The 27,799-nt window shown below is 47.9% G+C and overlaps 1 protein-coding gene across 26 annotated transcripts in view, besides 1 other annotated feature; it reads right to left on the bottom strand.

The window, feature by feature from the left end:
* Window positions 1–27,799, bottom strand: part of ARHGEF11 (Rho guanine nucleotide exchange factor 11) — a 112,064-nt gene that overhangs the window by 6,518 nt on the left and 77,747 nt on the right. For 10 of the 26 annotated variants that reach the window (XM_047435301.1, NM_001377418.1, XM_017002923.3 and 7 more), the window contains 25 exons: window positions 26,630–26,767; window positions 22,163–22,237; window positions 21,846–21,947; window positions 20,320–20,418; window positions 19,061–19,103; window positions 17,689–17,785; window positions 17,385–17,507; window positions 16,435–16,458; window positions 15,063–15,207; window positions 14,346–14,445; window positions 13,535–13,564; window positions 10,216–10,342; window positions 6,962–7,141; window positions 6,824–6,871; window positions 6,412–6,599; window positions 5,947–6,093; window positions 5,579–5,658; window positions 5,305–5,430; window positions 4,688–4,805; window positions 3,662–3,840; window positions 3,001–3,076; window positions 2,578–2,745; window positions 1,333–1,423; window positions 507–632; window positions 15–76 (listed from right to left, as the gene is read on the bottom strand). In XM_047435301.1, coding sequence (XP_047291257.1) covers window positions 15–76; window positions 507–632; window positions 1,333–1,423; window positions 2,578–2,745; window positions 3,001–3,076; window positions 3,662–3,840; window positions 4,688–4,805; window positions 5,305–5,430; window positions 5,579–5,658; window positions 5,947–6,093; window positions 6,412–6,599; window positions 6,824–6,871; window positions 6,962–7,141; window positions 10,216–10,342; window positions 13,535–13,564; window positions 14,346–14,445; window positions 15,063–15,207; window positions 16,435–16,458; window positions 17,385–17,507; window positions 17,689–17,785; window positions 19,061–19,103; window positions 20,320–20,418; window positions 21,846–21,947; window positions 22,163–22,237; window positions 26,630–26,767 — 2,692 coding nt within the window. Of the gene's footprint in view, window positions 1–14; window positions 77–506; window positions 633–1,332; window positions 1,424–2,577; window positions 2,746–3,000; window positions 3,077–3,661; window positions 3,841–4,687; window positions 4,806–5,304; window positions 5,431–5,578; window positions 5,659–5,946; window positions 6,094–6,411; window positions 6,600–6,823; window positions 6,872–6,961; window positions 7,163–7,215; window positions 8,661–10,215; window positions 10,343–13,534; window positions 13,565–14,345; window positions 14,446–15,062; window positions 15,208–16,434; window positions 16,459–17,384; window positions 17,508–17,688; window positions 17,786–19,060; window positions 19,104–20,319; window positions 20,419–21,845; window positions 21,948–22,162; window positions 22,238–22,334; window positions 22,438–26,629; window positions 26,768–27,799 lie in introns of those variants that run through there. The other 16 variants (XM_047435294.1, XM_047435306.1, NM_014784.4 and 13 more) reach the window with 5 other exon arrangements.
* Window positions 18,144–18,213: a silencer, noted in NCBI's record as "silent region_1442". NCBI's record gives its function as "represses an Ori minimal core promoter by ATAC-STARR-seq in GM12878 lymphoblastoid cells {active_cell/tissue: GM12878}" and the evidence as "EXISTENCE:reporter gene assay evidence [ECO:0000049][PMID:35858748]".

The raw sequence follows: 27,799 nt of genomic DNA on the forward strand, positions 1-27,799 counted from the left end.
TTCAGGGCCCTTACCTCCAGGCAGCTCCTCAGGTTCAGGTTCACCATGGAACACGTCTGAGTCATCCAGTTCTACCCTGAGGAAGGAAACCAACACAGGATGAGATCCCATGAGATTCCACCCTGGACTCATGCATTAGAATGGGCAATGGAGTAGGATCCGAGAAGGACGGTGTGGGCCTCTTCACCTGGCTGGTCTGCTTGGCAACCCAGAGAGGAGGGGGGCTGCTAGCTGAGCTTCTCTGGTCCCTTGCTCTACATCCCCCTCACCCTTCTTCAGGCTCAGCTCTATTATAGCCAGGTGGCAGGCTGTGGGGGAGCAGACAGGGACAAGAAGCAGGGACAGGGGGCATGTTCCTCCATCTGCCAGCACTTGGAGCTGTCTGCTCCCTGCTAGCATTTCCCTGTTGTGGCTGTCTACCCACGGGGGCGAAGGGCTTAAAAGCAGCAGGAAACAGGAGGTTTGGAGTGGAGAGAGTGCAGGGTCTGGAGGGCTAAGCACTGCACCTGCTGGGTGTGGGGCCCTGCTGGGCTGGCTCCCGGGGACCTGGGGGTGGAGGATGGACGGGCATTGGGGCAGCTCCGGGGTGCCTGGTGGCATTCCGCACGGCCTCTTCTAAGAGCTCCATCCATCTGTTGCTCGGCAGGAACAGAGAGGACTGTAGTGAGAGCAAGATAGCAGCACGCACCACCCCGTACTGAGCCCACTGGAACAGGGCTTCCAGGCCCTAAGAACCCTCTGCCTGGCAGGTGCCCACCTCCCTGTACAGTCCTCCCTGGCTGCTCCCTTGCGGTTATATTACTTGCAGCTACCAAATCCTGGACACCAACCCTCTGTTACACTCTGTGCAAAGCATTCTATGTTTTCCCTCTAAAGTAATCCTCTAACAGGTAGCATTAGCCACATTTTACAGATGAAAACCCTGGAGTTGGGAAACAGTCTGACTCAACCTGTCTCCTTCCACTGTACCATGCCACCTCTGGCAGCTGCTGTCAAAGAACATGGGCTGGGTGGGAGGCAAATGCCTGAGAAGGATGCATGAATCTAATCTGCCTAATGGTGAAGGGAGTAGGGCAGGAAGGAAAGAAGCAGCAGCAGCGGCTGGAAGACTGCCAGAAGCTCATTCTCCCAGAAGCGGGCCTGGTGACCAGGTCGGGGGTGATGACCCCTCCCAGCTTCTCTACTTCTGTCCTACCTCCCACTTCCTTCCCAACCCCTTGTCCAGGGACTGCTTTGGGGCCCAAACCTGGCCTTGCTACCCACTGTCCTCATAAACACCACCCTGGTCCGAAAGGGACCACAGTTACGGGTAACCCCTCAATCAATTCTCACGTGTTCTTGTCTGATGACGTCAATGCAACCAGCTCATAGATCTGGGGTGGGCCCAGCTTGGAGGTGCAGATGATGAAGAAGGCCCGTTTATCTGTGTGAGGAAAGGAAGGTAGAAGGGTCTGTACTAGGGATGGCAGGTGTGACTGCAGCCTGGGCCAGGGTGACAGAGTGGGACTCAAAGCCCTGACCCTCAACGCAGATGGAGAGTGCAGCACGAGACAGATGTGGATCTTCAGGACCACTTGGAACCCACTTACATAAGGGACAGAGGAAATTCCAGGACCCCTAATGTCATCTTCCACAGCCACCCCCATTCCTCTCCTGCTCTAATAACAGTGATGGCTGATAGGTGTATGGTGCTTAGGAGTTATAAAACTTTTTTTTTTTTTGAAACGGATTCTTGCTCTGTCACCCAGGCTAGAATGTAGTGGTGCCATCTTGGCTCACTGCAACCTGCGCCTCCCGGGTTCAAGTGATTCTCCTGCCTCAGCCTCCCGAGTAACTGGAATTACAGGTGCCTGCCAACATGCCTGGCTAATTTTTGTATTTTTAGTAGAGATAGGGTTTCACCATGTTGGCCAGGCTGGTCTTGAACTCCTGACCTCAAGTGATCTGAGTGCCTCGGCCTCCCAAAGGGCTGGGATTACAGGCATGAGCCACAGTGCCTGGTCAAGGGTTTATAAAACTTTTTCATACCCGTCATCCCTTTTGATGCCCACAAGAGGTAGGGTAGGTATCACTCCTATCTTACAGACGAAGAAAGTGAATCCAGAGAATTTTGCTCCAGAGCCCTTTCTCACACACACTACACTTCTCATTGAAATGTCCCTGTCCACTGGACCCAGCTCTGTACCGTGGGTACTAACATCTTCTGTAACCAAGCTCTGCCCAAGTCACTCTGTAGCAGAAAGGCTTGTCCTACTCATTCTGCCTAATCCCATTCTTCCCAATCCTGCTCAGACACTCTCACCCATCCTGGGTGTGCACATCCCATCCAGCACTGTGCTTGGGGACTGCTGACCACCCCTGTGCCAGGTTGTCTGTCTTCCTCTTGGTCCCCATCCTAACCCTCATCCTACCCCACTTTGGGCCAGTCCTACCACTTAGGCTGGGTCAGGACAGGAGGAAAGGAACACAGGTGGACAGGTAGGTCCTGTAAAGGCTCCAGACTGGCCCTGCCTCACCCAGCACTTGCTGGACATGGTCCCTGAGCCCCAGGCCAGCCTGGACCATCTCCCCAGGTACCTGTGGCCACAGAGCGGATGAGCACAGCATTGAGCTTGAGCACGGGGCTGAAGGTCTGCTTGCTGTCTGAGGAGCCCACAGCAGTCTTGCTGTGGCACTTCAGCAATAGCTTCTCATCCTGTTTCTGTAGCAGCACTAGGAGGTCCTCCAGCAGCAGCACGTGGAGGTCTGGAGGGGTATGGTCATGGGAAGGTGTTCCCTGGTGCCTACTCATCCCTCATGAGCACAATGCAGGGCCACAGGCTCTTGGAGGCTCTAGGAAGTCCTGGGAGTCTGGTGACCCCATTTCTCTCTCTGATTATTCCCTTCCCATGTCCTGAGCTATCACCTCCAGTCATGTTTCCATGCTTGGGAAAGACAGAAGAGCCCAGGGAGGCCCACCCACTACAGGTTCCTGCTCAGTCCCAGTCCCCTGGCACATACCCAAGGTCTTATCCTTGCTGATCCTCCAGGTCAGGGGTCCCTCATGGATCATTTTTCTGGTTGTAAGATCCAGGCTCTGTTAAGGAGACACCATTCATTCATTCATTCATTCATTCATTCATTCAAGTGTTTGAGAGCCTACTGTGTGCCAGACATTGTGTTAAGGTGCTGGGAATTGGTAAATAAGAAAAAGTCCTTGCCCTTACTCTCTTGTGCGGGATGAAGACAAGCAAAAAGGTAACTGTGAAGTCATGTGCCATGTGGCAGCAGGGGGATATACCAATGGCTCTGACTTGGGTCTCCCACCTGCCCCTACCACGTGCCAGCTACAGTCCCAAGAAGATCACATACTGCTTTTCCTGCCCATGCCTCCAGCTCTATTCCCTCCCAGAAGATCTCCACCTTACCTCCAGTTCTACCCCATCCCCTGCTCTCTCAGGCTGAGTTCCAACATCTAGTCTTTCTTAGGTGGGGCGGCCTGCCTTGTCCATCTAGGGACAGGGTGACAATAGCAGGGTGTGTGTCTTCTGGGGCTCCATTGTGCCACCCTATCTGGTCTCTGTCTCCTACCTCTAAGACTCTCCAAGCCCTGACCAGTGTTCTGCTCCTAAGGGTACCCACAAAGTGTGAGGGGTTGACTGCTGCAGCCTCTGCCTCCTACCTTGAACTCTGCTGCCAGGGGGTTGCTGGCCCTCTCCAGGGCGGTGGCATCCAGGCGTTTCTGGTAGCCCTCTAAACGGTGGCGGTTCTCTGTTTGTTTTACCGCTTCATTCACATACTTGAGAATCTCCCGGCACTGGTCCCGGGCCCGGCACAGCTTCTCATGCTCAGAGGTGCCACCTACCAAAATGGACAGAAGAGATGGTTGGGGCTCCTGCCTGAGAAGTCCAACATGGCGCCAGCTGTTATCTGCCTATTCATCCATGGCAGCTGGCTTGCTTCAAACCAGCAGGCGTGGGTGGAGGGGAGCCACCCTTGCCTCACATGAGGACCCCAAGTGGTAAGGGTAACTTTTACTGAGCATCTTCAGGTCTCAGACAGATCACTGCTTTGAAGACGCTGATAGCTCCTGGGAATCCCTGCCTCTACTACAACCAGCTCTACAGATGCAAGGGACAGAGACTGTGGTAAATGGCCACAATTATGCCTCTAGAAAGCCTGTTCAAATCAGATTGGGGTTCCTAACACCTCTCTGTCCTGACTCCAATGTCTGAAATTTGGGGGTAGTGAAAGATGCCCAGGATCCCAGGGAGAGTGATAACCTGAGGCTAGACCCTCTTGTTCAGTCTGGTCCCCTGCCCCTCTAGTGTAACCACATAGGCTGTGTCTTTTGTGCACTGCAGGGGGCATGAATGGGGATAAAATCCAGCCCCATGCAACCAGAGGGACCCAGGTGCCCTTGAGTGCCAGCCTGTGTTGGGCACCGGATGCTTTCCTTGGATTTGCACAAAGGCCCACACAGGTGGCCTTCGATGGTGGCCCCTACTCCTCCCACTATTAAACACCTTATATTTTCCAAAGGACATTTACAATCATTTTCTTCTCTGAAACACCCCACAACAGAAAAAGGACGAAGACACCAAAGACCACAAGGCACAGTGACTTGCTAAGGTCACAAAGCAGTGTCAGAATGAGGGTCTGGCACGAGGCCCACTGCCTGTGATGCCAGCCCCTCCCCAGGTGCTACCCTCTGTGTGCTTGATGATGCTCTCCAGCAGCAGCGGGTACTTGGTGAGCCGCTGCATCTCAGAGATGATGAGGTCTCTCAGCTGCAGCCGCCGACACTGAGGGTGGCTCTCAGCCTCCTAGACAGCAGGAGACACAGAAGGGAGGAGATGTCAGCGTGGCTGGGAGCTGGCTTATGGGCTCAGGGCCAAGATGGGTGTGAACATGACAAACAGGTCCTAACGCCAGATGGATCACTCAGAAATGGCAGTGGAAGCTTCTTCCTTAAAGATGTAGAGAAGGGTGTGTGGTGGCAGGGAGACACCAATCCAAAGGGATATGGTCAAAACAGAAGGGCAGGCATATTGCTGCCATTCTATAGACAAGGAAACTGAGATCCATCTCAGGACACACAGGTGCTGGTGGGTGAGCCAGGCCTCTGACTGCTAATCCAGGATTCTTTCCAACAAACAGAAGTCTCTTTGTCTAGAGTGAGTCAGTGCTTTTGAGGAGCGTGTGTCGAAGGGTAGAGGGAGTTGCTGTAGACAGGGATGATGTGGCCAGAAGGAGAGAAGTTCAGGAGATCCTTGGTGACCTTGATGGAGATGAAGGAAGGCCAAGGCATGGCCAAGGACGCACCTGCATGAAGAGCTGGAATCGACTCTCCTTGCGTTGCTTGGTCTTGATTAGCTCTAGGGCTATTGACTGATAGGAACAGAACTGTGCAGCCACTTGCTGGAGTTCCTCTCGGGCAGGGCCATCAAACTGAAGAGGCAGAATGGACACGGGGCCAGGCATCAAACCCCTGCCTGGGACCAGACCCCTGCCTTTGCCAAATTCTCTGGCCTTGGGTAATGAGACCCTGCCTCCCCCAATCTCCTCCTTGCCAAGAGGGAGAAGTTTGGAGCCATACCCGGGCCAGCATGAGGTCACTGATCTCTTTGATGATGGGGCCTTCCTCCCGGAGCTTCTTCATGGCTTCACACCAGGAATCTGGGGCAGGAAGAGAACAAATAGAAATGCCTGGGGTTGAGCTCAACTGCCAGAACCTTTCTGACAGAGAGAAGTGAATCTCTGACAGCAGTGCCATGGGAAGGGTCTGGAAACCATTGTACTTTCGGGGTGAACTCCAGTGCTGGTTTCAGGCTGTCCACAGATCTTTTTCTCACCAGGGATTGGTGGGAGGTTACCTACTCAGGGAGGTCCTGGCAGTGGGGCCAAAGTGGAACAGGAAGCTGAAGGGCAGCAGAAGAGGAGTCTGGAGGGGCACAGGCTCCTTACTGTGAATCTCTATGAGTTCAGGCAGGTTCGGGAAGAGCCGGGCCAGCTCCTCCCGGGGCATCAGGTTCTCCTTCTTCATTCGCTGGTAGAAGATCAGGTCCAGGACCCGGAGTGTGCGCAGGTGGGAAGCTTCAGTCACAAACAGCTCTGAGCGGTGGTTGTGACAAGGAGGGTAGAAAGCCAGGGAGAAAACGGATCAGCAAGTATCTAGAGTCCCTGACCTGGTTCCCACACCACTCTATTTTTGGGGGAACTGAAGTGCCAGTTTCAGATCATACAGCAACTTTTCTCTTACTCCAAGGGCCAGAACTGAGGGGAACCTTATAGCAACAGGCAATGTGGACCTGCTCCAGCACACAGGGGCCCCCCACCCTATTTACCTCTTTCCCACCCTTGTGTCTTAGGCATTCTGGACCTATTCCCACACGTGTGAGCGGAGCTGGGGGCAGTGGAGCACGTTCTCACCATTGATGACCTCTTGCCGGTCAATCTCCCGCTGGGTTAGCCCAGCCACCACATCCTTGCCCACTGTATGCTGCCAATTTTGGGCATCTGGCTCTGGCTCCAGGTCAGACAGCTGGCCCAGATCATCCTCTAGGAGGTGGGGAAGGAGGGTATCTGTGCAGAACCCCAAACTGGGGGACTCAATGCTCCTGGGGGAAAACAGGCAGCTCAGCTTCATTTAGGAGGAAGAACTCACACAGAGGGTTTGGCCCTCCCTCTCCTGCCCGACCTGCTTGCCCCATGCACATGGGAAACCAGTGGGCCCAGAAGAGGAGACAGCCACCCAACCAGCCCCTTGCAGGTGAGAGGAGCAGCTGGGTGTGGATGGGACACAGAGACACCAAACAGAGGCACCACCGTGCCCATCACTTACCTGCGGCCCATTTTGGGAGTGAATGGAGGGGTTGGGTTCTCAAGAGACCTGTGGAGGGAATGTCAACTCTCAGCAACCCTCTATCCTTGCCGCCACCCCTGAGATGTCCATGGGTGCAGCCGTTGTAGCCCTGCCCACCTGGTGGAGAGGCTGGAGGTAGAGGACGAGGCTGACTGGTGCAGGCGAGTAGCCTCCGCAGCAGCATCCATGTCAACATCACTGCGAGAGCGGGGCACGTTCTCTGCCTTTCGAGACCGTTTCATCTCTTCCCGGCCCTTGAGGCTTTCAGAGCGGCCCAGGCGAATCTCTGAGCGTGAACTGGGGGGAAGGGACAAAAGACTTTGGGACTTGGGAAGTCAGTGGGCCATGCTTACATCCTGGCTAACTCTTACCTGTGGCTCCATCTCAAAGATGCCTCCGTGCCACAGGTTCTCCTCCTGAACATGGCCAAAGCAGCTGGATGGCAGTGGAAGCTTCTCAATGACAGACTATTTTTGCTGCTCTACAAACTCCTCCTCTCTCCCCAGCCTAGCCTGATGGATGGACAGTCATCTTCCTCTGGAGCTATTAGGAAGGGATCCTAACAGGAAGATGAAATCTGGGGCTAACAGACTCTGAGTTGTAGTGTGTCCAGAGGCCTGAGACACCATGCTTCTGTCAAGAAGGTGGTAGACATCATCGTCCCTCAACAGGGAACACAAGGTCCCAGCTCCCTGCCCCTAGTGGCCAGTTCACGTTGCCTCTGCTTTGGAACGGGTCAGCTCCCACCTTTAACTCTGCCTGAGGCGAACCTCTTTTAAGAGGTCTTAAGAGGAAAGTGGAGTCACTATATTCACAGCTCATTTTAGGATTTTCCACACTGCCTGTCAGAAAGTTCTATCTGCTGCTGGATTCTTAGCCTTCCAGTTGTGATGTGGATGAGTTCCATTCTTATCTTAACAATACTGTTCCTAAGATTCCATTTCCTCTCAAGAGCAGACAGGCTTGTGCTTAAAGGGGCCTTTTTACTGATAGGCAGGACCCGCTCCTTGGCCTGCCGTGCTTGGCTACTGAGTGTCTCTGGGGTTTGATGAGATGCTGATGACTGGGTGTTGCGGTGTCGAGTCCTGCAGTGCATCAGCCCAAGACAGCTGGCACCTCTGACCCCTAGCTGCCCCAGGATGGTCACCCCACCTCCATGCTGTGGCCCTGTTGGGCTGGTTTTCTGATATTATTAGTAATCTACATCCTGCTCTGCTTCTAGGACCACAGGAGGCCTGGAAATGTCTGCAGAGCTCTTAATAGCACAGCAGGTTGCTGCAATGAGGAGCTAAATGTCTCGGTCTCCATTCATTGTGCCCAAACTGCCAGATGATCCAAAATGGAGCTCATCTCCTAGGGTCCTGAGGGTTTTGTCTGCAGGGTTAGAAAACATACTGCCCACTGATCCCTTATTGAATTCACCCTCCAGAATTGTGTTAGAACAATCCCAACCCAGACTAACTCGGAACACTTTTCAGTGTCCTAATGGGTCACTGTACCACCACAACAAACACCCAGTGGAGTTACTGGGGCTGCAGAGCTAAGCACCTTCCTTCAAGCACCCAGAAGTAAGTAATGCTCCTCACCAAGAAGTGAGGCATATCATCTGTCTTTGCCCCCAAATTCCTAGGGTATTGCCTTCTAGAACTGGGGCATCTTATACCTGTTGAGTATCTACAACAATCTCTGACCCACCATATTGCTAATACTATTTCTTCTGAGATTGCCAATGAGTTGATAATCATCAAACCCAAAGGCTTCTGCTTAGAGTAGCTTTAGGATCCTAGCAAGTGTCTTAGGGCAAATTTACCTAGCAATGCCAAGAATGCAACTTTGTAAATGGTCTCAAATATTTTCTCAAAATGTTGATGTCTTATAATCTTAAAATATTTGATATATCTACGACATCATGTGCTTCCACAGGAATCACATAATTTGCGTATTTAACTTACCCATTAATGTTAGAACTCAACCTTCCCCCAGTACAAATCTAACCTTTGTCTCCTGTAAATCTGTCAATTCTCATGGCAGCAAAATCTTTTAACACGTGTTAAGCTGAAAAAAGGCTTCATATAAACAGAAAGGAGTAACCTGCATTCAAGCAGGAAAGGTTGGCTTATGGTTTGATAATTAGTTATTTCAAAGGCAAAATAGGCCAGGTGCAGTGGCTCATGCCTATAATCCTAGCACTTTGGGAGGCTGAGGCAGGAAGATTGCTGTGGTTGGGAGTTCGAGACCAAGCTGGGCAACATAGTGAGACTGTCTCAAAAAAATAAAAATAAAAATCAATTAGCCAGGTGCAGTGGTGCATGCCTGTATCCCTAGTTACTCAGGAGGCTGAGGTGGGAGGATCCCTTGAACCCAGGAGTTTGAGGCTGCAGTGAGCTATGATTGCACCACTGCAATCCAGCCTGGGTGACAGAGAAAGATCCTGTCTCTTTAAAAAAGAAAAAAAAATCCCCAAAACAAACAAACAAACAAACGAAGGCAAAATGGCTTGAATATCCACGCTGCTGCATACTGACTTGCTTTCATGCCTGCCTATACTCCAGCTCAGTGGCTCTGAGGCTTGACTGTACACAAGCATTATTTCCCCCCACACAAGACCATATTACTCTACCTGTTTAAGTCACCTTTAAGGGTGGTGTTGGTTTTTAAGTGTTGGCTATAGAATTTTAGACATGACTTGACTGCTGTCATGCCACAATCAAGAGCAAGTAAGTCCAAGAACAAGTTTTCATACCAGATGGGGACTCTAGTTAGAACCTGACCAAAGAAGAATATGAGAGATGCCAGTCTCAATTCCCCTTTTTCTTCTTGAAAAGGGAAAAACAGTCCATTTGTAATCAATCCACTTTGCCTCTCTTTGCTGAGGTGGACATCTGATGCCTATAGTTACATCATTTGTCTTTAAAGTACCCAGCAGAACCTCATCTCTGGCTCTCTTCTTCACATACAGACAGGAAACCACTTTCTTTTGCCTGCCTGGGTCTTTTTTCCCCAGGACTCCCTCTTGCCCCCACTATAGTCTTCCTTATCCTTGTCACTTAGGGTTTCCTGATTAGCTGCTTTTTATCACCTAGCTCGATCTTGGATGAAGGCTACTGAGTAGTCAGGTGATAAATCCAAAGGGAATTTGAAAAGTGTGTAGTTCTTGGGCTGGAAGTCGGGGATCTGCTTGCTCTTCCACTGGCCTGTTCACTGGCACACAATGTGTCTCCTGAAGATACTGGGGGTGGGGAGGAAGTTCTGTAAAGGGAGCCTTAGAAGCTAGTGGAGAGGGGTCAAGTAGCTGGAATTAAACCCTAGCATCAGCCCTGCCCATGACCCACTCTTCGAGCAGCTGGCGAGTCCCATCCAGCCAGTGCTACCTGTCACTCTCCAGCAGGTCCTCAGGAAAGCTTCCGGTCGAGAGTCGTTGTGTCCCAGGTTCTGGGGCATCATACTGCTGGTTGTTCTCAAAGTGCTGAATGATGTTCCTCACATTGCCTGGTTTGACTAGAAGCAAAAAGAAAATGAAGGACACTAGGCTTGCTGTTCAGGGATGGCTTCTCAGGCTTGGACTTCCCCAGATCCCAGAAGACAGAGCAATGAGCAAGCGTGGATGAGAACAGCACTGGACCAAGAGTCAGGAGATGTGTTCTGGTCCTGGCTCTTCTATGAATATGCTGTGTGGCCCTGGGCAGTCACACTACCTTTCTGGGTTGATTCTTTCCTCATGCGCAAAATGAGAGGGTTTGGAAGTATATTTTCCATAAGCATTCTTTTGGCTCTCACATTATTATAATAACGCTTCTGCTTGAAAGTCATGATTAGGTTTTTCCTAAAAGCCACATACAGGTTAAAAAACAGCCAGGAAGACCAAAGCACATCTACATGTAATTTGGCCATGTTGCCAAAATATATCAGACATTTCTCAAATTTAAATGAATTTTAGAGTTCTTTATTTGTTTTTCTCTGCCTCTCCTTCCTGTCCTTTCTGCCCTTCTCTGGCCTTCATCACTACAGAATCAGACTCTTTAGTACCGTAAGAGGTGACCTAGGAGGAACAGAGGAGAGACTTCACTGGCATTCAAATTCCAGCCCCCTTTCAAAGCTAAGACAGAAGAGAGCTGTTCCTGTTCAGACAGAGAGGGCAGATGGTAGAGTGAAAAGGCACAGGTAATGCCAACTACAGCCCCTGGAGAACTCAGACCCAGAGTTCTGTGGCTCTCAGCAGGAGGGAAGAGAGATAAGGAATTCACCTTCAAGTCAACTAGCTCAGTTCTGAGCCCATCCATATTAGAACAGGGGTGGGCTAGAAATGCTGGCTGCCTGAGACCAGCGGAAAGGACAAGGGGAAATGGGGAGGCAATATCAACAGCCCAGGGTCTGGGCCCTGATCCTACTTCAGAGATTCTGACATCTACATATACAAACTTACAAATCTGTCTCAAAATCTGACTTTCATAAGAAAACTTCTAAGTCAGAGAGAACAGAAAAAAATTTAGCTGCTGTCTTCACAGTTTACAACTTGACAGCCTTTAGGCAAGTGGCTAGGGAATATTTTTCTAAAACTGTGTAAGTAGCTGTGGGTGCACATGACAGGAGTAGGGCTATTACCATCACTCTCACTTTGGAGATTAAGAGCAGATCTGCCTGTCCCAGCCTGAACGTGCATCTGGGCCTTGAAGCCATGCAGATGCCAGGGCCAGCTGGGCAGCCGCAGCCCTGAGCCGCCCTGGCTGGGTGATGATGTGGGAGCCTGGGAACATCCTATAACTGAAAGCCGGCAGGCTGAGTCCACTCTTCCCTTTCCCATGGGCCACTTGGAAAATGCACAATTAATGTTCTAGATAGAGTTATACCTTAGCTGTGGCAAAATACAGGCGTAGCCCTGAGATCTGGTATAACTGAATGACCCAGAGTAACAGGGGAGAAACAGGTAGAAGGAAATGCATTTTTAAAAAGAGCAAAGTGGCGAGGCACACAATGCCTCATGCTTACAATCTCAGCATTTTTGGAGGCCAAGGCAGGAGGATCACTTGAGCCCAGCAGTTTGAGACCAGGCTGGGCATATAGTGAGACCCTCTCTCTACAAAAAATAAATTAGCCAGGTGTGGTGATATATGTCTGTGGCCCCAGCTACTTGGAAGGCTGAGGTGGGAGGACTGTTTGAGCCAGGAGTTCAAGGCTGTAGTAAGCTATGACTAGACCACTGCACTCCAGCCTGGGCAACAGGGCGAAACCCTGTCTCAAAACACAAAAACAAAAACAAAAAAACCTGAGGACTGGATTTCAAGGCCATTCTTTTTTTTCCCCTTGTTTTATAAACTTTTTTACATTAATTCCTTATTTTTACTGCTTAAAATGGCATACAGTCTAGGAATTTAGTAACTTTTAAACTAATTTGGAAGATAATATTTTTAATTGTCACTTTTACATAAAATAAATTGCAGTAACAGAATAGTTTCCAGGTTGCATCCCATTGCTGTCTCTCTCTCTCTCTCTATATATATTTATTGTAGAACCTAGAAAGTGTTAATCAGTTGCACGCATATGGACCTTATTAACAGGAAATGAACTTGCTCAATTCTGTGACAATTCACTGTAGGCTCTAAGCTTCTTGTGGGTTAATGTGTATCACATTAATGTTTTAAATACATGGATTCTGGAAGATACTAGGTCCTCTAAAATACATTTAGGGTCATTCTTTTTTCACTGCTGTGGTTATACAGTGCTGGCAGTCAAACGTCAAAAGAGATGGAGGTGCTATACTGAAGGGCTTAAGTAGATGATAAGAACAAAAATATCCAAGAGAAAAACTGTTGGAGACCCATACTTTACATAAAAAATAAAATCACCTTCAAAACTGACATTTTAATTATTTTAACTGAAAACAAAAATCTGAGGCACTGACCGGGCGCAGTGGCTCATGCCTATAATCCCAGCACTCTCGGAGGCCAAGGCGGGCGGATCGCCCGAGGTCAGGAGTTCGAGACCAGCCTGGCCAATATGGTGAAACCCCATCTCTACTAAAAATACAAAAATTAGCTGGGTGTAGTGGCACATGGCTGTAGTCCTAGCTACTCGGGAGGCTGAGGCACGAGAATCCCTTGAACCTGGGAGGCGGAGTTTGTAGTGAGGCAAGATCACACCACTGCAGTCCAGCCTGGGCCACAGAGTGAAACTGTGTCTCCAAAAAAAAAAAAAAAAAAAAAAAAAAAAAAAAAAAAAATCTGAGGCACTTCTGCTTCACTGTAAGACCCTTCAATGTGTGAGGGTTCCCCTCACTTATACAGAACTCTGGATTTTTGGACCCTCATCCTTGGAGATGTGACTGAATTATAGAGAAAAGGCCTCAGGCTATGGAAAAACTGCCAGAGGAACCAGAAGTCTAGTCTTGGCCAGAACTACCAGAAGGAGCTGTCCCTGCAGGAGAAGGGGCCTTGCCCCCTGGAACTCTGAGTTAGGAGACAAGGTCTCGTACCTGGCATGAGGGTGGTGCCCTCCCCAATCCCCCACAGGGTTTGCAGCACACAGCAGCTTTAGCAACAATGAGCAACGCATAAGAGAAATGGAGAGAAGAAAGAAAGGGAGGGAGGAGGAACAGGATGGGAGATGATGAGAAAGAAACAGAAAAGACAAGATTTGGGAGATGGAAACTCAATGCTAATGCAAAGACAAACCCAAATAAAATGGTCCTTTTACCTTCCACAGGGGACAAGGGAATATGAAATGCTAAAAGAAAAACAAACAAAAACAAAAGTAAACCATGAAAAGTCAATCAATGTTTTAAGAATCAAAATAAAAATTACATCAAGCCAAAAAATTAAAAGGTAGTGGCGAAAATCAAGGCTGATCTAGAAGAATCTCTTTCCGTTTCCTGCAATGCAGCAATTTCAGAAAGGGAGGCCAGCCCACCCCACTGCCCTTCACAGATTCCCATTGATATTGGGGGGCTTAAGGTACTGACTGGGAGGGGCCAGCAACAATTTCCAGACAAATGACACACGCTGGGAAGAGATCAATGATAGGATCAGTTGAGTTTTGGGTTACTGATGGCATTAGGGGAATCTCTGGGTCCCAAACTTGCCCCCAACCTGACTAGTTCTACTTTAATAGTGACTCAACCATCCCCCGCCCGCATCTATACTACTGTAGTCTTGTGTGCTAGGACCAATTATAGACCCTTGGATGAAGGTGAAGGGGGCATTTTCTGTCCACAGGGCGATCCTTGCCGAGGGGAAATGTTTCTCACGTGGTCGTTTGGTAGCTAGAACTGCTCTGGGTTCCTAGACTAAGACCCAGGGACCGGCACGGCTTCCCTGGCTCGGAAACATTCACCTGAACCTCAGAGATCCTGCACTGGATTTGGCAAGGGGAGAAAGTGGCTGTGGTCTGAGTTTGGGCCTGTGGCTCCCAGAAACACAGGAAGGCCCTCTGCCAACATACTGGTACATGAAAGGGCTGAGGTCCCTGCCCAAGGAATGCCCAAGGCTGTTGCTCCCCAAATACTCACTGCTTTGAGAAGAGCTTTTGGGCTTCCCAATGTATTTGAGGATAGGGTTTCGCTTCTTGTCCTCCAAGGCATCCTTTTCTTTCTTGGAATTGCTGCTCTGCTGAGACAGGAGACACTGGTGTTTGCAGGAGGTCCTGATACCCAGGCGTGGCTGCTAATCAATTCTGCCACTGTCCCCCAAGGCTGGCCCTCAGCAAGTAACTGGAGAGCTGACTCTTGCTGGTACCCTAACAAGCATGTTCGCCTCTGGCCTGGGTTTGGAAGAGACTGAGAGCTGCTCTAGTCTGGGGGTCCTCACTGACTCCACATCCAGGTGGAGGGATGTAGCCAGAGACCTGCAAAACGGCTTTCCTGACCTACCTCAGCACAGAGAACTGCATCAAGAGGAGATATTTTCCAGGACAGCTCTGTTACCTTCTTTTTATTTTTTTTCAGACAGAGTCTCACTCTGTTGCCCAGGCTGGAGTGCAGTGGTATGATCTTGGCTCACTGCAACCTCCAATTCCCGGGTTCAAGCAATACTCGTGCCTCAGCCTCCCGATTAGCTGGGGTTATAGGCATGCACCACTATGCTGGACTAATTTTTGTATTTTAATAGAGATGGGGTTTCACCATGTTGCCCAGGCTGGTCTCGAACTCCTGAGCTCAGGCAATCACCCGCCTTGGCATTCCAAAGTACTAGGATTACAGGCATGAGCCACCATGCCCGGCCCTCACCTTCTTGGTCTTAGGGAAGAACGGTAGCCACTTGTCCTTGTCAGGAGCAGACTGGGCCTTTTCAGCTGTGTTGGAAGGTCGTGCCTCTCGAAGACGGATCCCAGCATGGCTCATGTAGGTATTGAGGGCGAAGTCCATGGGGGCGCTGTAAAAGAGGAACAGTGTCCTGAATCAGAGAGCTCAAGTTATCTTCCCTGTGCCAAACAATCTCTTCACCACCACGCAGTGGAGTGGGGAAGGGGTAGTTACAGGTGAAAGTATTCAAAGAAAAGTCTAGAATAATTAAATGGGACAGCAGGCAGAAGCTGGCTAAAAGTCTGGGCTGTGACCTTCTCCACACAGTGAGCCCACAGGTAACCAAGAATAAGACTTTTCCCAGGAGAAGTCTTATTCTTTCCCTAAGCAGAACTCTTCCCCATGAGCAGATGATGGTCAGTGGAAGAACATGCCAATTCCCTAAAATGTAAGTAAATAATTTCCTGCCTGGTCAAGCCATAGGCAGATGTGGAGGACTGGCTGAGGTCTGCAGCTGATACTCTCAGGCATATGTGCAGGGGTGGGGAGGCCAGGGGAAAGGAGAAATGCCAAGCAGCCTCTGCCAAGGTACACTGCCTTCACCATCCTCCCACCCCAGTACAGAGAAAAAGAGATGGAAAAGGAGCTGTCAGGTGGCTTCCAACTGCCACAAATGAAAATGTCCAGAGCTCTGTTTAAAAATGTCCTTGTACCCACAATTTGCTGGATGGATGATGACCCACTCTATGCATTCAATGCAGCAAGGCTTCAGCTCTGTCTGTATTTCCCTCTTAAACAGACTCCTAACCCCATTTTCTCTCCCTTATTAATGTGTATGCTCAGGGAATGCAGACTCATTTTAACCTTGGCTAATGAAAAACAATGAGATAAATATATAGGCTGCAAAAAAAAAAATTCTAACATGTGCCAAGAAAGGAACTATGCTGCACCCCAGCTCCCCTCTGCAGATGTCACTAACAGGCTGATTCCACGATTACTGTTACTACTTGAGGTAGTTTAAGGGAAAGACGTGAGAAGAGAGACAAAGGGCTCATCTGGGTAGAGAAGCTGCCACCAGGTATGGGACTGTGAGAAGCGATGGCAGCTTGGTGTCTTCCCACTGAGGAGCAGACCCACATCCCCAGGCAGTGATCCCTGAGCATCAGGGGCGTGGGCCTCATCACCCCTATGTTATGGTCATACAGACACCTGAGTGCTAGACTTTCAGGAACCACGGTCCTTCATGGTTGTACAACATGAGGGACTCCCCTGTGATTGTCAGAAATGGAAAGCATAGTAGCTCAACCCCACTCCTTCCACCTTGAAAGCTGCAAATCCACATCATAGACTTGCTTACCTCCTGTCTTCCTCATACTTGGACCTGGAATGGAAGAAAGAACAGATGACTCAGACTGCAAAGACAGAGGCTGGTCACCTGGTTAGAGGCTAGGAGGAGGGTAAGTTTTTCCTAGATGAAAGGAGGGTTAGTGGGGGAAAAGGAGAGAAGTACGTCTGATGCACAAGTATTTGGTACATAGCAGGAACTCCATAAATATTTGCCGAGTTGAAATATCAGCCTTAGCAGAGACTGCATAGGTTTCATCTTCTTTGCTATTTTTACCCTGTCCTTAAAGTGCCTGGCTGTGCCTATGGATCTGACTTGTATGGAATGGCTTAACCAAGGTCACATAACTACTTAGTGAGAAGCAGTAGTAGGGCAAAAAATTGCTTCTAAGCCTGAAGTGTCCCCATAAAGTCTGTGATACTGGGGCTTGCATCACAGGTGCCTATGACACTTTCGAAAATGGCGCTAGAAAAACATAACAAAAGCGGCTGTGCCAGAAGCACCTTAGTATATTGCACTAGTTCAGTTTTCTGATGTGGATTAGTAAAAGATGGTTCAATTTCCCCTAAGCCAGTTCTAGCTGCCTCCTGAAGGAACTTTATCCACTGGGCACACACATCACTGGCCTCACTCTCTGTGACAGATAAGATCTTAGAGGCAGGAAGGGAGAGAGGTCAGGAGGAGGGCCAGCAGGGGAAAGCAGAAAGCTTACCACATTCCTGGGGCCCGTGGTCTGTCATAACCACCAAATGACTATCAGGAGCTCCAGGCTCTGCCACACCCTTGAACACCTGCAGCCCTCAGCCTGACCAATGCAGCAGGAGTGCAGGACTCCCCATCTTTCAGGGGCAGGAGAATCAGGCAAGAAGTGGAAGAGGGGGAGAGGTTGAAAGAACAGACCCACAAAATATGTCAACCTGCTTAGGATGTTCAGTGGGGTGGGAGGAAGCTGAAAGACTCACAAAATATCTCCAAGGGCAGCCAGCTGCTTCTCAGCCACTTGGCGCTCTCGGAGAGGGTCCCCATCCAGGTCCAGCAGGTCATTTTCACCATACAGGCTGCCCAGCCCCAGTGTGCGCTTCGTTCTAAGCCAGATAAACACAGGGAAAGAAAGAAATATACACAAATACTCAACAGATGGACATCCAGAAAGAACAAGACAAACACATATAACAAGAGATATGTGCACGTCCCAGAGGGAAGGAGCCAGGGCCAAGAGGCGGAGGTGAACGAGGAGAGAGGTGGGAGGTCAGCTCCTGGGCCAACCTGTAGTCGTGGATCTGCTCTTGGATCTCAGGCATGGCTGCCTCTTGAGCTTCACAGAGAACACCACGGGCATCTTCGCTGTTCCGCAGGCGCGAGTCTGTAGTGGGAGATCAGAGAAAGCAGAGTGGATGGGGTACTGGGGGTGGAGGGGGATCCCTTCTGCTGAGCATCTCAAGGCATTTCAGCTCCCTATGACACTGGGAGGAAGGGCTGGCTTTCTGCCCTGTTAGTCTAAAAGGAGAGGAGGCCTGGACCTCTCAGGTCATTCCTGAATTCAGGACTGGATGCTGATATCTAAAGTCCAAGGCAAGGACAAAAATATTTTCTGGATGTTCTGTGCTCCATTAAGAGAAGTATTAAAGTCCCTCTCATTGGATATGTCTAAGTACCATTCTCTGACATCCAAGTGCAGACCTCTGAGAGGCTTGTTCCCCTCTACTGCTCCAGAAGCAGCTCACAAGGCTAAAAAAGGCAAGCACTTCACACTCCATGAAACCTGAGCTCCCCAGTAGAAACTGAAAGATGTCTCTCCTCTAGTCCCTGCATCTAGCTCCACCCAGGCTAGGCTAAGTCCTTGGGAGCTGTGTTTCATTCTCACTCTGCTTTTGAGCAAGCTCTGTTTACCCTATGCCTGGGCTTTCCTCCCCGTCACATGTGCCCGTAAATCATCTCTTTCTAAATGCAGCTTCCAATTCCTGTCCTCTAAAAAGCTGCCAGTGATTAGCTTCTCAGGCTGACATCACCTTAGACTGCCTCTCCTTAATTCTTCTACTCATGATTAGAAGGAGAAGGGAGACGGGCACCATCTAGCCTGCCTGGTCCTCACTCTGGACTCGCTGCTGTCAGTATTAGTTAGGGAACTTATAAAAACAAAAATAACCCCCCCTCCCCCCCCCCCAAAAAAAACAATAAGAAAAACCACTCTGGAGATTCCAACTCTGCAGGGAGGATGGAGCGAGGCCCTAGTTTCTGTATTTTTTGAGTTCCCCAAGGGATTCTTGACAATCAACCTGGCTGAGGAATCCCTAATCAAGTCTGTTTCCTCTTTGTTCAGATAAGCCAACGGAGGCCCAGAGAGGTCATGTAGAAGGCTGGCAGACATGAACCCAGGTCTCCTAACTCCAAGTCCAATGTCTTCCCATGACAAGCTCCCCCCGGCAGAGTGAGCGCCTAGGCAGGGTCTGTCCCATTTGCACCTGTCCGTAAGCTACTGTGCAGTGTTCTGGAGCAATCATCCCATGGGTCTTTTCCTCTATTACAGGACGGTTGCCCAAGGACAGGGACTATGTCCCTTCTGTCCTCTGGAGCCTCCTGAGAGCTCAGGACAAGAAAGCTACCAAGAAGAGACTTACCGACCAATGAGCCAACTTACCAATTTCAGCCTGTAGCATCTCAGGGATCTTCACTCTCAGAGGCTAAAAAACAGAAGTGTGGAGCAGAAGCAGTCAGGTCTGCACACTCCAGGGAGATGAGCAGTGTGCAAGGCGAGGAGGGCTTGGCCACATGAACTTCTTGCCTTTTCGCCTACATCTGCCTACCATCCTTCTCATCACTCTCCAACTGCACACCTGAATTCTAGGCTAGGGTTTTTGGGAAATGGAGTCTGAGGCTACAGAGCAAGCTGGTACTATATTCTGAGGGCGGCACAGGCAGTTTTTTTCACTCTTATTTCCAGGCCATTAGAGCGCATGGGATGGCATGTTGTCCAAAAAGTGGACCTGTGCTGACTTAGCAGCAAGGGAAAAGGAAAAGCCTTCATTAGGCTATTTGGTGGACTTTCCCTCCCGCTCACTCCCATGGGAAAGCTAGCCTTGTGTCACCCAGCCTTGCAGTTAGCATGGTGTTCTGGCTTTTGCTACACAAGTCCCTGACACCTGGATACTGGAAAGGTTCCATAACAACCAACAGAGAACAACTGGCAGCTCTAACCTCCCTACTCAAGACCCATTTAAGAGGGCAAATATAAAACTCTTAAGAAAAACCAATTTTCTCCAACCTCATTAACCCTACTAGCTTACTGCCAAAAGAATAAAGTCACCTTGGAATTAGTCTAGTTGATCAGATTAGAAAGTCTGGGATGGCGATTGCCCTTTGCAGGCAGAAATGCTCTTGCCAGCGGGATCCCTGACATACCCCGGGAACTCTGTCCCAATGCACAGCGTGCTGTCTATCCCAGACACTCTGGGGCCTCCCATCTCTGACTCCTGCCTTTGGGCAGTAATAGCAACTCAGACTGAGCTTCAGAAACCTGGGTTCTCCTCTTGCCTCACGGATCTAGGTCATCTGATGTCTCTAGACCTCTGTTTCTTCGGCCTAGGGATGGGCAAGGCAGGGAGGGTTGGGGGGAACCAGGGCACTGAATGAGGGGAGAATAGGGAGAATTTGGTACAATCTCTTCCTCCAAACATTCCAGAGACAGGCAATGTGTATTCTATATGTGGAACAACAGAGGTACTGTGAGATTTTTTGAGAGTGGCGCTAGGAACAGAATCCAGGAATATTAATCTCTCAGCCTAGATTTCTCTTTAAGAACCTGTCTCTGTTTGGCCTGGATGTTTTGCTTAATTTTCCCTGCCTCTGAGTAGTTCAAAGAATATGATAAAATTATAATCCAATCTATGACTGCCTTACCGCATTTTTCTCCAGGAAAATATTCCAGATGTCTTTCCCCAAGCTTCGGGAATCCTTGGGGCTTGCCTGCTGATAAACTTCTGCACACAGGTAAAAAAGCTAGGAGGAGAGAGAACTGGGTTAGAGCAGTGGTTCTCCCCCAGCAGTGATTTTGCCCCCTAGGGGACGTTTGGCCATGTCTGGAGACATTTTTAGTTGTTACAACTACTGGGCAAGTGCGGTGCTACTGGCATCTAGTGGGTACAGCCCAGTGATGCAGCCATATTTCCCCAAAGGCACAGAACAGTCTACCACAACAAAGAATTCTCCAGTTCAGAACAGTTGAGAAAGCTGGGGTCAGAGTATTTCAGAAACCTGTGGTAAAATAATCCCCACCCCCTTTCCCACGGGCACATCTTCAACACTGATCACTCCTCAACTCTGTATCCTCTCCACACGTGCTATTTCACTTGTGTCTTGTGCTGGTTTACGTCTTGTTTCCTAAGGGTTCATGTTTTATTTCTCTTTGTGGTGTGCCCTGTCTTTATTCAGGAATGCTTCTGGCACTTGGACATGCACACAGGTGTTCAATGAATACCTGTGGATGGCTGTTCATTCTGGCTTCTGATGGTATCCCCAGAAAGACAAAACAGCAGCCCATGCCCCAGGTGAGAAGTTTATTCTGAAGAATACAACCGCAACTCCTCTACTCCATCTGCCCTCCCGTTCTAAGCAGTTGAGCAGAATAAGGAAACTGGGAAGGTTGCTGGCTCTGAGCACTTTCCCCGGCACTTTGGTCTCCATCCCTTCACATTCCTTCTTGTCATCACCTTCACACGGAAGACCCTTTAAGCCTTGCCATCTGCAAGTTTTCTCACAGGGCCACTCTCTCAACTCCCTAGTCGGTCTGTATCTACCTTCGTTTAAAAAACGAAGGAAGAGGCCGGGCGTGGTGGCTCATGCCTGTAATCTCAGCACTTTGGGAGGCTGAGGTGGGTGGATCATGAGGTCAGGAGATCGAGACCATCCTGGCTAATACGGTGAAACCCCGTCTCTACTAAAAATACAAAAAAATTAGCCGGGCATGGTGACGGGCGCCTGTAGTCCCAGCTACTCGGGGGGCTGAGGCAGGAGAACAGCGTGAACCTGGGAGGCGGAGCTTGCAGTGAGCTGAGATCGCGCCACTGCACTCCAGCCTCGGCGACAGTGCGAGACTCCGTCTCAAAAAAAAAAAAAAAAAAAAAAAAAAAAAACTCTAGGAAGAGCAACTTCTCCAAGACGACTTCCTGAACTGATCAAGAATGAGTTTTCCTGGCCTTGCTCTCTTGCTCCTCCCTAGGCAGCTGATGTAGTTAGTTAGCTGTGTCATACAGTGAAAAATCCCCTCTCCATAGGTTTCATCTTCTTGGCTATTTTGTCTGTCCTTGAAATGCCTGACTGTGCCCATGGATCTGACTTGTAACAGCCAGGGAGCAGAAACAGAGGCTAGAGGTCCTCTCTGCCCAGTACCAGCAGGCACTCAATCAAGACAGATGATTCTGACTTACCAGTGGACTGGGGTCCGCCTGAGAGAAGATGTAACGTAGAAAAACCCCCAGGTGAGCTGGCCGAGACTTCAGTTTCTCCAGATCCTGGAATATGATGTCGCTCTGGAAGGCAGAAGGATGAGCATGGTGGGAAGCCGGGCACAGCAGCACAGCGGGTTCCAGCTTAGCTCCCATGTGATTCCCCGTCCTGGGTTCATAACAGGAGGCTCCCCGCCTCAAGTTCCCTTCACAGCTGATGCTAGTCAAACTGCTTCTAGTCAAGAGCAGCTTGTATGACAAAAAAAAATGATGAAAGGAGAAAACTAGGAAACCGTTACCTCGTTGTTGAAATAACCCGGGTCATAGTCTTCCTCTGGGCCAATAATTAAAGGCTTTGGGCTTTGATCTACACCCTGGGGGAGAGAGTCAAATTGCAGAGATGAGAGGTTATAGAGGACAGAGGATTCAACCACCTCAGTGAAGTTTGTTTAGTTGCAGCACAGCACTCACAAAGCCACCCGGGTCTGGTGAACGTTGGCATCTCACTCCCGCCCCCAAAATCAGAGCACAGATGAAATGATTTCCACTTGCAGGAAGTCAACTGCTTCTGGGTGGGGCAGGGCAGATTCAGAGCAGCCTGGTCACATGACATATGAAGATGGGAAGTAGGAGAAAATGCTCTCTTCCTGTTTGCAAAAGATCTGGGGTGGGACTGTCAGTCAACAAAATAAGAGCCAACAGCTCCTGCTGGACTGCTGGGTTGGGGGCTGTTTTACTTAATAGAGTAAACAGCCACCCCTACCCCAAACACACATCCTCCAAACCTAGTGTCTACCACAGTGCTACTGAACAGTTATTCTGTGCCTAGTAAGTACTGGTGGCTAAATAATGATCGGAGAGCCTACTAGTAGATCTCTGCCTCTCTGAACAAATGGAGATGCGGCTGATCTTTCTCTAACACCATTTGCATTATTTTGTTTGCCCGCTCAAGAATCTGTGTTAGATCCCCATTACCTGTCTAAAATCCAAATTTCTTAGTCTGGCTTTCCTTTCTTTCCCCCTTACGCTAATTTAAATAAAAACCTAATCTTAATGGACATGCCATGGATTAGGTATGATAAGACTTCATATTGCATAAACTTCTCAGATGCTTCACTGAACAAATTTTTCTCCTAAAGGTTCCTTGAGCTTTCAAAGCTTTTCTACTAACTGTATTTCTCACTCAATTTGATATTTTTCATTTCCAGTGATTCCCCAACAAGGTCTCTGCTTCTGGAACCCACTCAGCTTAAATGTGCCTATTTTAACCCAGACCTATGATACCCTCCTAACCCACTTTCTTAAGGGGCTTTTCCTGACAGTTCCTCTCTGATGCTCCTCACCCCTTTTTTGTTTTCCTGGATATTTATGGTCTCTATGCCCAGAATGACTGAGTCACAGAACATGAGCGGCCCAGAAGGTATCTCAGACACTAGAGTCTAACACTCATTTATAATTGAAAAAAGTGAGGCCCAGACAGACTGACTGGTGTGCTCAAAGCTGCAGAATCAGGCCTGATGTGCTGTATTTGTATTTCCCAGACACATCCTGAGTATCCTCCTCTCCGAAACACCCTACTCTCTGACCCTCTTGGGGTCTGAGAGCCCCAGAAGGTGGTGGGTGAGCACTTCTGGCTCTACTGAGCTCTCTGGTGAAACCTGAAAAGCACTAAGCTTTTGCTTGTTTACGGGGAGGATTTTTTTTAAAGTCTTTAGAAATACATATTCTTTCTGATTACAAAAGTAGAATATGCTTATTATTAAAAAGATCAAATGTTATAGAATGACATAACAGAAAGTGAGAGTTCCTTATGCATCCATTTCCCTGCTGCTGACAGTTTTATGGAAAGTATAGGTTTTCTTCCTATGCTGTTATTAACATTTATTACTACTAAGAAACTGGAAATTATACTCTATTTGCTCTTAACACTTGAAAATACCAACTTAGTTTTCAGAAGATGAAAAAATTTCAGAAGGAAAACAAGGGCTCCAACACTATTGACCCCACACCTGCTTCTATGAGCCACCTGAAGGAAAGCCTTTCCTAGAACAGGATAGACGCCTGAACCCCTTAGCAAACTGAACTTGGTCCTTTAGTTCTACAAAGATAGGGGTATAGAGAGGGCAATGAAAGAGCGGCTAGGATAGGAAAGAGCTCCGTGTTGGGGACCAGGAGAACTAAATTCTAGTTCTGACCCTGCCAGTAACAAGGCTAGCCCTTGAACATTCCCTTAGACCACACGAAGATTCTAATGGCCAACTTTTTTCCTGATTGTGAGAATTACTTGAGATTTTTTGGTAAAGATCTGGCACAGCAGCTGGTACACTAGGCATTTTAATACCTGTCCGATCCTTTTCCCCACCTTTCCCCTCCACATTGTAAGAATAACCAAACTTTATACAATGGGTAACACTAGAGTATCATATGTTGTCATCTTTTTTAAATTCTATTTTTTGTGAATTTGGCAGCCCAACCAGAATAGGTTCAGAGAGGCTTGGTCACATGTATTCTTCTTTTGCACAGTAGCTCTTGATTAGAATTTTCTTTTGATGCCTGCATAACTCTAGATTTATAAAAAAGTATGTTCACTTAGGCCATGATCCTCTCTTCTACAGATCACACTGTGAAACTTCAGCTTCAAGAAACTTAAGAGCTCTGTGTCCTGGATAAGTCCTCCCCTAAGATGCCACTCAGAAGACAATTTTGATTACTCCCATTCAGTCATTCATTCACTACACATTATGAAGGTGGCTACTATGTGCCAGGTGCCTACAGAGATAAAGCATATAAAGTTGAGGTAAGCCACATAGGGAAGTAACAGCAGAGGGATAAATGCTCTAAGAGAAAAAAGATGCTGCTTGGAACCCTGAACTCCAAGGTGAGAGGACAAGTTTACTAAAATCACAACACCACCAAAGAGAGCTCAGTGAGTAGGATTATCGTTTGCTCTGTTTTCTTCCTTGTACCATTTCTCCCTCATTATCCAAATTACTTTAGAGACCCCATCTTCTGAAGACCTCCTCCTGGACTCAGTGATTAACAGGCTCCCAGAGTCAAAAGAACTCCAGAAAGTAGCTTTCAAACTTTCTGTTGACCATGACTTCTAATAAATATGCTTTCACTGCAACTCAGCACACACATATGTAATTAAAACAGAAGTTTCACAAAATACTTTTATTACATGTGATGAATTCTGTTATTTTCTTTTCCATGCTATTAGATTCTACTTCATTAAAACAGATGCTGCTCATGACCTTCAATACTGAAACTATGACTCCCCAAAAGATGACAACCCACAGTTTGAAAATACCACCTGTTTAACTCCTGACACCAGTGTTTTCCAGCATGGGAAGTGGAACTATAAGGATTTTAAGTGAGATGATTTTTGTTGAGGGTCAAAATGATTTTAGGTGCTATCTGGACATGGCATTAAATAATACTGGCTCATATTGTAAGAAAGTTAGTTTCTTTTCAGTTCTCATTCCATCCTTTTGATTAACCCAGGAAAAATTTCAGCCTGGTGCCTGCATAGCTTTAATACCTTTAACCAAGGCAGAATTGCCCTCAAGCTTAATTAAAGCCTTTGACAAGCAATAGAATTGATCTAGAGTTTATTTTTCGGGTTGTTTTAAATTTTATCTCTACTTTTTGAGCAAGTTACATCACGTAGTTTAAAATTAAAAGGACACAAAGGGGTAAAGATAATAAAAAGTCTTCCATCCACTTCGTCCTCAAGCCAACTAATTCCCCTCATCAGAGGCAATAACCATCAGTTTCTTAAACATTCATCCAGAGATGTCTTAAGAAAGAGGCTCCTTTTCCTCTTTTTAATATAAATGGCAGCTTTCTTCTACACTGTCTTATATCTTTCTAGGTAGAATTTAACAAACTTGGTTCTAAACTTATATTTAGTGTTACATTTACTCTACATTTACAGTGTATCATGATGCTGGTTTTAATTTAAGGTAATGACAGATTTCCTTGAGATGAATTTAAGTTTAAAGAACTTAAACTTGGCTTAAAGAAAAATATTAAGTAACATTATACAGGTAGAACGTTGAATATTTAGATGTCTAACAACGTCTGAACGTTGTTAGACACGGTTAACGGTGTCTGAAAAACAACAGGCAATTCTCTGGCTCTCAAGTCCATTCCATTGCCAGACAGCCCAGCTTCTTTGCAAGCTGTTTGCATTAAGTCAAAACCCATCTTCCTGAAGTCTCTCCTGGATCTAGCTCCACCCTTGAGAGCAGGGCCTTTCAAATCAGGTTTTGCAGAACCTTAGGGCTCCATGGAAGTGCCCTTGAGGGCAGGGGGAGGTTGATCAGTAAAGGTCCTAGGGGAGCTGAGTTTTTTTTTTTTCTTTTCTATGTTACGGTTCCAAGTAATAAGATTTTGTTTGAGAAAAGGATTTTGCTAAGGAACGGGGAAACTGAAAATTAGTATCCTGGAGAAACACTGCCTAAACCTATTTCCTATTCTGTATAGACAGAAAGACCAGCTATCCGCTCCTTAGCTGTTACTCCCTACAGATGCATTCACCCACTCTCCACATAGAAATGGAGCCAGCCTTACTTTCATATCTCTATTTATGCCATGTTCTCTTTCTTTACTATTTGCTCTCTATGTAAGTGACTGTCTCAAAGTTTGGGTTGCTGAAGCAGGGGTTTAGTCTGATGATCCAAGACGATGTACTGGTAACACCCATGCCTCCAAATCTCACTTCTGAGAAAAGGAAAACTGCAGGGTGGCTCCAGATCACTCACCTGGTCACCGGTTGAGGGGACTGCTGCATCCGAGCCCTGCCGCCTGTGGTGCTGGGCCACCCTGGCCATGATCACAGGGGAGGTTCGAGGACTGTCTAGCCCAGGGTCTGACAGTACCGAGTTCCGATTCATCAATGACTAGAGAAACAAAGAATTCTGTGAGAAGGAACCTTGTCCGGAAGACCCTCAAGGCTCAGCTCATTTGGTGTTGGTGGTGATAACCATACTTATAACATCAGCTAAGAGAAGTGCAGTACTTGCTCTGTGCCTGGTATTATACTAAGCCCTTCATTACACATTATCTCATTCGATTCACACAGTAGCCCTTTGAGGTAGATACTATTATTCGTCCCATTTTCACACAAAGAAACTGAGACTCCAAGAGGTTATGAGACTTGCTAAGTCAGAGAGCTAGTCATGAGGTGTATCCTGGACTTAACCCAGGCAGCCTCAACTCACAGCACACACTCTTCATCACCAACTCTGTGGCCTTCCAGATAATGTCAACTGTAGATTCTTTAGGATCCCTGTCCCACTCCACTTTCTTGGTGACTTTCCCACATACCGATCCTTTCACATATATTTCACCATTTTCCCATGGACAGGGCAGTAAGAAAATAAAATTCCAATTGTGATCTAAAATTAGGTTTTTAACATCTTTTCAACCACATATTCACATATTTAATTACTCTGGCTAAGCAAATATTTTGCTAACTTCATTACTACTTCTTCCATTCATTCTTACTTTTGTATTGCCGTTCATAGTTTACATGTGCAAACTGAGAACACCTGGAAGAGATAACCTTTGAGGTCAAAACCTGAAATTCTTTTAGTCATTCCAGAAAAGACAAGCTATTTGGGAAGAAAAAGATCCACAGCAAAAAAAGACTACCACTTCTGAATAGGTTGGGTTCACTGTATTAATCTAAGACGATGTTATTCCTGGACAGGTGGAAATATGTTTTTGGTCAAGTCACTGTTTTAGATTATTTCGTCTCTGCTCCCTCACTCTCAAAGGCTTGCCACAGTTAATGCCATGGCCGCCCTCTCCACCCTACTCTTTATATAACAGAGTTGACAATGATAAAATGAAAGCCAGATTTGATAATCTTGCATGTTGGATGCATCTGAAATTTCTGCTTTGGAACCCAGAGCACAGTGATTATATCC

Source organism: Homo sapiens, chromosome 1, assembly GCF_000001405.40.
Source record: "Homo sapiens chromosome 1, GRCh38.p14 Primary Assembly".
Lineage (NCBI taxonomy): Eukaryota > Metazoa > Chordata > Mammalia > Primates > Hominidae > Homo > Homo sapiens.